At 43.7% G+C, this 9,123-nt stretch overlaps 1 protein-coding gene across 11 annotated transcripts in view; it reads left to right on the forward strand.

Moving 5' to 3' along the window:
- Positions 1 to 9,123, forward strand: part of NDUFAF6 (NADH:ubiquinone oxidoreductase complex assembly factor 6) — a 222,698-nt gene that overhangs the window by 20,509 nt on the left and 193,066 nt on the right. The gene's annotated exons all lie outside the window — the stretch shown is intronic.

Below are 9,123 nucleotides of genomic sequence, written 5' to 3' on the forward strand. Positions count from 1 at the left end.
TAGTGCCAGCCAGCAACAAGAAATTTCCTGCAATAGGACTATTGTCCACTAGTCTATCAGTCTGAAGGGGTAAAGGTCAGTGCTGTGGCTTTAACACCTCATAAATGACCCATCCCGGCTGTCATCCTAAGTGTTAGCCACTAAAGTTTACTTAGTATTTACATTTAAAGGAATTACTATAAAGCCAAATTTTAGCTTATTCCACCTATTAAAAAACAAAAATGGGCCGGGTGCAGTGGCTCATGCCTATAATCCCAACACTTTGGGAGGCCGAGGCGGGTGGATCACCTGACGTCAGGAGTTCGAGACCAGCCTGGCCAATATGGCAAAACCCCTTCTCTACTAAAAATACAAAAATCACCTGGGTGTGGTGGCACGTGCCTAAATTCCAGCTATTCGGGAGGCTGAAGCAGGAGAATTGCTTGAACCTGGGAGGCAGAGGTTGCAGTGAGCCGAGATCACGCCACTGCTCTCCAGCCTGGGTGACAGACAGAGTGAGACTCCATATCAAAAAAAAAAAAAAAAGGCCGGGCGCGGTGGCTCACACCTGTAATCCCAGCACTTTGGGAGGCCTAGGCAGGCGAATCACGAGGTCAGGAGATCAAGACCATCCTGGCTAATATGGTGAAACCCCGTCTCTACTAAAAATACAAAAAATTAGCCAGGCATGGTGGCGGGCACCTGTAGTCCCAGCTACTCAGGAGGCTAAAGCAGAGAATCCTCTACCCAGGAGGCAGAGCTGGCAGTGATCCGAGACCACACCTCTGCACTCCAGCCTGGGTGACAGAGCGAGACTCCATCTCAAAAAAAAAAAAAAAAAAGAAAGAAAAAAGCCACAAATAATAAACTTGGAAGACCAATGGTTAAACAGTGTACGTTAACGTAGAAGGTTCTATAATAAAAAGTAACCTTACTTCAATAACCTAAGGATTTTAGTCCTCTTGTTTTTACCTATTCCAGTCTGTCTTGTGAGAGCTACAGAGGCATTTACAAATATCTTTGCATTAACCTCAAATCAGCAAGGTAGTCTAACGTACTTACTGGAATTCATACTATAACACAAGTACTGCTGTGGAATACAACTAGAATCCACATTTCTCAGACTAGTATATTTACCTCCTAATATAACAATTGCGAAATAGAAATTAATGTAAGTTCTGCCAAAGTTGATAGTGAGATATACAAAACTTTGGGTCCAAAATGAATTCTTTTTGTGTAATGATCAGGTGGTTGAATTACCAATGTGTATTGGCAATGGCATCCCCCAAAATTGGTTTTAAAATAGAAAATTCAACCACAAAGAATCTCTCAGTCTTAGAAAAAATTTAGTGCATCAACACTATAGAGCTTACAGAAAATGTCAAATAAATGTACAAATTCTATTAAAAAAATAGGGCAAACATTTTAGTTGGAAGCTAAAACTAATGTTATCCTGCTCTTTGTCAAATCCTCCCCTAAATGTTATGAATACATGCATTAGTGTTTTTCCAAGCCCATTTTATAACAAGATGTACAAGTGATAATTCTTAAGTTTATTCAGTTTGCTTTAAGAATATAAAATACATCAATCTCTTCATCATGTTTGCTTCTTACGTGCAAGAATATTAGTGGAAGCCTCTTTATGCTCATGGTCCCTCTGGGGGCTGTGAATTGATATTCTGCAGCACATGTTGCCAAGTGCCTGTTTTGTCAAGTTTCTTTTTTGATCAGCGAAACTTTGTAAGTTGTTTCTTAGTTCCAAGACTTTCTAACTTGCTCTGGATTTTTGGGTAAATATTTGTAATTTTTTTTCCAGAATGAAATTCTGCCTGACTTTTAAAACTCAAACTTCTAAGTGCACCGACCTGACCAATCTGACTCCCTTCCTGATCAGTGCCATGGAAGCAGTCCAGGCACACCAGAGACACAAAACCAGCCTCAAAGAATCACTGTAATCTAAACACAGAGGGGCTCGTGTCCCCTAGGGCCCAGACTTGGTTTGAAGCAGAGAACCCTGGCCTGCACTTCCCAGGGTTTCCAGAGGTGATAGTGCAGAGTAGGCCCTGGGAGACTGGTGGAGAAATAAGCTGCCAGGGAAGCCACCACTTCAGACTCTGTTAATGTTATTTCAGAGGCTGGGATGATCACAGACAATCCTGGTCAGCTCTTTAATTACTAATCCATTTTTCACCTTTGCAGACTTCTCTAGAGGCTATTGTTACCCTGTGAGATAGCTATATCATTTCATTGATTTCTATGTTATGACATAGTCTTGAATAGAGTTGTCAAACGTTTCTTTGACAGGAATAATTTTATTCCTGTAATTTGGCATTAGAGAGCACCCCGCATGGGGATACATAAGCCAGAGTGTTCTGTTTGTATCCCCAGGTTCACCCAAACTGGAAATCTCCCATCCTTTGCTTCCTCCTCCTTTTGCCCTCTTCCCCTGCACCCCAATCACACTCTTCAATTCTGTGTTCACAGTATCTCCAACATCCTTCTCTTTCCAACCCATTCCCTGTGTTTTACCTTTGGGAGGTGTTTAGTAAATGCTGACCAACTGATACAATTCATTTCCCTTTTTATTCCTTGCATTTGGATATGACACTAGTTTTAATTTAGTTAAGTTTTATTTAAAACCTTTAGGCCACGGTGTATTGAAGCAACTTTGGGACACATTCTCTTTAGCCAGATAATTCAATGGCAAAAAAACTTGAAAAACTTAAGTTTTATTCTTGTTATAGAGGAAGCAAATTCCTCACTTCTTTTAGGACTATCTTTTGAAATACATGTTATTTCCAGCTTAAAGAACTTAGAAATAAAATCTTACCCCAATAGATGACTAGATGTGCCAGTGTAATTATTTGAAAGTCCTTTTAAGTGGTTATTACTTGACTTTTTTTTTTCCTTTTTTAGATAGAGTCTTGCTCTGTCACCCAGGTTGGAGTGCAGAGGCACAATCACAGCTCACTTCAGCCTTGATCTCGCAGGCTCAACCAGTCCTCCCACCTCAGCCTCCCGAGTAGCTGGGAGTACAGGTGTGAGCTCCTGCGCCTGTGATTACTTTACTTTTTTATTGAATGTACCCCATAATTACTGGTTCTTGTTTATTTTTTCTTTATTTTTCTTTTTATCAGGCAGCTACCTGAGCCAGAGTAGGCTCAGAGAGACTCCTAGTTCACTTGTTTATTCTCAAGTAAGAAGTCAAACAGTTTAGAATGTCATTCATTTTGTGCAGTTCCCATGATTTGCTCTGTCATTTTCAGAGCTACCAGGAATACATAGCGTTGAATCTGCCCACTTGTTTTGGCTACTGTTGTTCCATCCCAGGGACAGAGAGGATGCTCCAAGCCCTCTAGAGTGATAGCCACTCCTCCCAGGCCACACTGGAACCCCCTGGTGGCACTGAACATTACTATCCTGTCTCCTGGAAACAGGTCAATATCCTGCATCTGTAACATGCAGCAGGAGAGCCCTGATGTTCTCAATGCTGACCTGAAAGTCAGGAATTCCAGGTGCTCTGTATTATCTGAATTTGTCATCCAAATCAACATTGTAAACCAAGCAAGTTAGCAACAAGGTCTAAAGCATGACAAATTAAGAAATCCACACTTGGACCTAAATGTTAGGTCACAAAATTTCAAAATTAAAGTGGAGCAGATTCAGGAAGGCTCTGTGGGATTTTTTTTTAACATAGAATTTCCTATAGTCTGTTCACTTTGGCAGGTCACACTTCATGTTAAAATACTCTTCTTGGAGGATGTGACCTCCAAAAGAAAATGTTAAAAGGGGGTAGAGATGGCTGCTGTAACAGTTTGATATATAATGATAACACTACATGGATAAGATGATAATAGTAAGTGTGTGTGTATATCTATACATATAGTGATAACACTATATAAGAACCATCTGGATATAACTCGGTGTCTTGGATCACAGATTGAAAGATCCTAACTAGGTGTCTTAGTTCATTCCTGCCCTATAACACAATAGACTGGTAATTTATAAATAGAAATATATTTCTCACAGTTCTGGATGCTGTGAAGTTCGATTTCAAGGTGCAGGCCAGATTTGGTGTCTGGCAAAGTCTCACTCTACCTTCAAGATGGCTCCTCTTGCAGTATCCTCACATGGCAGGAGGAGGGGAGGGCCAAGCAGTTCTCTGAAGCCTCTTTTATAAGGACATTAATTTCATTCGTAAGGGCAGAGCACTTAGGGCCTAATCACTGGAGCAGTGATTGCAGTCCCTGCATGTCCCCCACCCAGGGTGGTACATGAACCCCAGTATGCAGTAGAAGGGAACAAGGGGAGGGCTGGGGTTTGAGTCCCACTGCTTTCCATCATGGCTGCTGTAGCCCAGTGTTGTTGCAGAATGTCTGCCCAGGCATGGGTGCTTCAGGATGCCACTCCAGAGCCCTATTATACTGGACCCTCCACCCCCAGCTTGCTCCTGGAAAGCTGCACACTGCTCACAGGCTGTGTTGCCAGCCATTCTCTATGAGCATCCCGCAGCTGCCTCTCATTTAGGGTTCTGCATTCAGCTGCAGCTGAGCCTCCGAAGAAATGAAAGCCTTTAATTCCCATCCCTGCTCATAGTTTTTAGCTGCCTATTAGGACCAATCTCCACACTTAAAGCATTCACCTTCATCCTCTCCAGCTCTGGGATCACCTTGCTTAATCCTCTTCAATAAGGCTAGAACTAGCCTTAAGAAAATTTAAGAAAAAGCTCTTAAAGTCCTCTACTGGATGCCAATGAGACATACAAACAGCCTACTCACAAGTGAGAGAAACCCAACCCAAACTAGCTTAAGCAAAAAGGAATTTTATCTCACATAATAGTCCAAGGGTAGAGCTTGATCAAGATATTAAATTATGTCACTATGGCAAGTCATCTCCCCTTCTGTCCTTCTTGCACATTGGCTGTATCTCTGTCAACTTCCCCCACTTGTGGAGCAAGATAGTTGCCATAGTTCTCGAATCTTCAAGTGTTTCTTGACTGAAGTTAAGTGGGGATGAGTCTCAGCTTCTCTCGGCAGTCCCAGAAAGCCTCAGTGTATCTTACTAGCTTTGACTGGGGCATAGTCCTATCCTTGAGCTATCCTTGGCCAGGGGGAATGCATATCTGATTGGCCAGGCCTGATTCATATGCTTACTCCTGGAGCTGGGAATAGTGAATGCCATCTGAAACTAACCTCGATTCTGGAGGGAGAAATAGATCCCTAGAAGAAAATTGGGATACTGTTATCAGAAGGGAAATGGATGCAGAATGTTCACAAATACATCCCTTCTTTACTCAATGTTTTTCTTAATTACAAATAAATTCTTCTGGCCAATGCTCTATACAATGCCTTCTCTACTCTCTTCAAGATCCATAACACAGTGCTTATCAAACTTTAAAATGCAAAGAAACCATCTGGGGAATCCTACTAAAAATGCAGATTAACATCCTTCAGTAGTGTGATGATGGCTGAAATATGGGAAGAGCAGGTGTCACAGGAGCTCAAATAGGGCTTCTCACTCATTAGCCTCAATTGCCTCTGTGAAATAGGAGGCAGAAGGCCAGCAGTGGTTTAGGGCAATGGTCTCAAAGTGTATTCCCTGGAATAGTAGTGGCAGCATGACCTGGGAATTTATTAGAAACACACATTCTCAGGCTCTATCCTGGATTTACTGAGTTAGAAACTTCAGAAATGGGGTCCAGCAATCCGTGTTTTTTTGTTTTTTTCTTTTTTTTGAGACGGAGTCTCACTCTGTCACCCAGGTTGGAGTGCAGTAACATGATCTCGGCTCACTGCAACCTCCATCTCCGCCTCCCGGGTTCAAGGATTCTCCTGCCTCAGCCTCCCAAGTAGCTGGGACTACAAGCATGTGCCACCACGCCCGGCTAATTTTTTGTATTTTTTAAAGTAGAGACGAGGTTTCACCGTGTTAGCCAGGATGGTCTCGATCTCCTGACCTTGTGATCTGCCCACCTTGGCCTCCCAAAGTGCTGGAATTACAGGCATGAACCACCGAGTCCGGCCAAATCCGTGTTTCAATAAGCGCTGCAGGAAATTGTGCACACTGAAGTTGGAGAACCACTGGGTTAGGGCCTAGCTGCTCATGGCTCTTGAGCTAGCAGCATGCGTATCATGCTAGAAATGCAGAATCTCTGGCCCCATACACAACAGACCTACTGGATTAGAATCTGCAATTTTTTTTTTTTTTTTTGAGGCAGAGTCTCACTCCGTCACCCAGGCTGGAGTGCAGTGGTGTAATCTTGGCTCACTGCAACCTCCGCCTCCCGGGTTCAAGCAATTCTCCTGCCTCAGCCTCCTGAGTAGCTGGGATTACAGGTGCCCGGCACCACACCCAACTAATTTTTGTGTTTTTAATAGAGATGAGCTTTCACCACATTGGCCAGGCTGGTCTCGAACTCCTGACCTCAGGTGATCCACCCACCTCGGCCTCCCAAAGTGCTGGGACTACAGGCATGTGCCACTGCGCTGGCTGAATCTGCATTTTTAACAGGATCCCCCAGATGATTTGTTTGCATTTTAAAGTTTGATAAGCACTATGTTAGGGATCTTGAGAGTAGAGAAGGAATCGTATAGAGAATTGACCAGTTGCACACAAAAGAATTGCCAAACTGGCACTTGAGCTCGTACCCCCTCCATGTCTCATGGCCGTGATCCCCACAAGAGTCATTTTTTTTTCCAGTTGCTCTTAGGCAGCTCAAATGTAGAAGCAAGCCTTGCATTCAGATTGACTTGTAGTTGGAGGTTAGCAGAACAGGCATGTCGGAAAGAGAAACGATTGAAAGTTGACATGCGACCATGAGAATGGCCAAAATCGTGCAGATGGGAGTCTGTAGGCCGGATAGGAAGGAGGGTGGCCATGAAGAAAGGTGGTGACAACCTGAATGTTTCTGATAGCATGAAGCAGGTAAGGTGTGAGAAAAAGTTAGCAGAGTAGTGGTCCAAGATTGCTATATAGAGTCTGTGGAACTGTTAGGTCCAGAGAAAACTGTCCAACAGAACCTTTTGGATGATAGAAATGTTCTCTATCTGCACTGTCCAGTATGGTAGCTGCTAGCCACATGTGGCTGTGGAGCACTTGAAATACTACTAGTATGACTGAAGAACTGTTGGAAACATTACTAATAGTTCTAAAGGCCAAAGCTATCTATACAACTAGATGCTCAAAGAAATGTTGCTCTCTTCTCATCCCCACTAACCTATTCCACTTCCTGTCTTCTATTCCAACCCTTTTTATCCACCCTCTGTAAGTAACCACTCCTTCATTTCTGGCTTTTTCTTCCTGTATTTCTTTTGCATAATGAGCTGATAGTGGTGTGTTTTCTTATATTCCTTTCTTACATGAAGTGTAGCTTACAATAGATACTCTGAATTTTACTTTTTTTTTTTTTTTTGAGACAGAGTCTCGCTCTGTCGCCCAGTCTGGAGTGCAGTGAGGGGATCTTGGCTTACTTCAACCCCCACCTCCTGGGTTCAAGCAATTCTTCTGCCTCAGCCTCCCAAGTGGCTGGGACTACAGGTGCCCGCCACCACGCCCGACTAATTTTTTTTTTTTTCTGTATTTTTAGTATAGGCCGGGTTTCACCATGCTGGCCAGGCTGGTCTCAAACTCCTGACCTTGTGATCCACCCGCCTTGGCCTCCTAAAGTGCTGGGATTACAGGCGTGAGCCACTGCGTCCAGCCTGAATTTTGCTTTTTTTCACTTGAGTATGTTTAGAAATCAAATCAAGCAGTTCATAAAGCTCTTCCTCAGTTTTGTTTTGTTTTGTTTTTTGAGACGTAGTCTCGCTCTGTCGCCCAGGCTGGAGTGCAGTGGTACGATCTTGGCTCACTACAACCTCCGCCTCCCGGGTTCAAGCGATTCTCCTGCCTCAGCCTCCTGAGTAGCTGGGATTAACAGGGGCACGCCACCACGCCCGTCTAATTTTTGTATTTTTAGTAGAGACGGGGTTTCACTGTGTTAGCCAGGATGGTCTCTATCTCCTGACCTTGTGATCTGCCTGCCTCGGCCTCCCAAAATGCTGGGATTACAGGCATGAGCCACCGCACCCGGCCCCTTCCTCAGTTTTTAAAAAAGCTGCATTGACCTCTATTGTGGGGATGTGTTATAATATATTCAACTAATCTATGCATAGCATTTAGGTTTTTCAATTTTGCATTTACAGCAGACAGTGTTTCAATGAATAACCTTGTGGTCTGTACAAATTTACAGCAAAGGAGCAAGATAATCTTAGGCCACATATCAAACTGTGAAGCCTTGATGTGCCCATCCCCACAAGCCACCTTCATGTTTGACTGCCCACTTCTAGACTCCATACAGTCACTGCCTTGAGACCTGATCAAGCTGCTAGATTCCCTGGACACTCTGTAAGTGGGCCTAGCAACAGTCTTCTCAGCAGCAGCCATTCCCCTGCCATTCCAGAGTAGGGTTTTTGTTCTGTTTTGTTTTGTTTTTTGAGACAGAGTCTCACTCTGTTGCCCAGGCTGGAGTGCAGTGGCATGATCTTGGCTCACTGCAACCTCCACATCCTGGGTTCAAGCAATTCTCCTGCCTCAGCCTCCCGAGGAGCTGGGATTACAGGCGTGTGCCACCATGCCTGGCTCATTTTTGTATTTTTAGTAGAGATGGGGTTTTGCCATGTTGGCCAGGTTGGTCTTGAACTCCTGACCTCAGGTGACCCACTTGCCTCAACTTCCCAAAGTGCTGGCATTACAGGCACGAGCCATCATGCCCAGCCCAAAGTGGGGCTTTCATTTCAACCTGCTGCTTCTCAAGTCAACGTTCATGACCTTATTTTCATCTTTGGGTGACTCCTTCTTACCCCTGGCACCCAATCTTTTCATCTCAGCAAAGACTCAGATAATAAAAATCTGACTTTAAATAAGCTACAGTTGTAGAATGCTGATCTGCCCCAAACATTCATTCACATGGGAGTTATTCTTTGGGCTTCGTGTTCCATTATTCTGAATGTTTACTGGCCTATTGAAACTAGAGCTCCACAATAGGGGTATCAATGGCATCAGGGAAGGCCATATTGTCCTAAAACACTTCTATAAGATTCCATCTCCATTCATTTGGGAGAAGATCCATTGGGAATTCATCCACCTGGCTTCAAAAAGGCTAAA

This window comes from Homo sapiens, chromosome 8 (assembly GCF_000001405.40).
Source record: "Homo sapiens chromosome 8, GRCh38.p14 Primary Assembly".
Classification (NCBI taxonomy): Eukaryota; Metazoa; Chordata; class Mammalia; order Primates; family Hominidae; genus Homo; species Homo sapiens.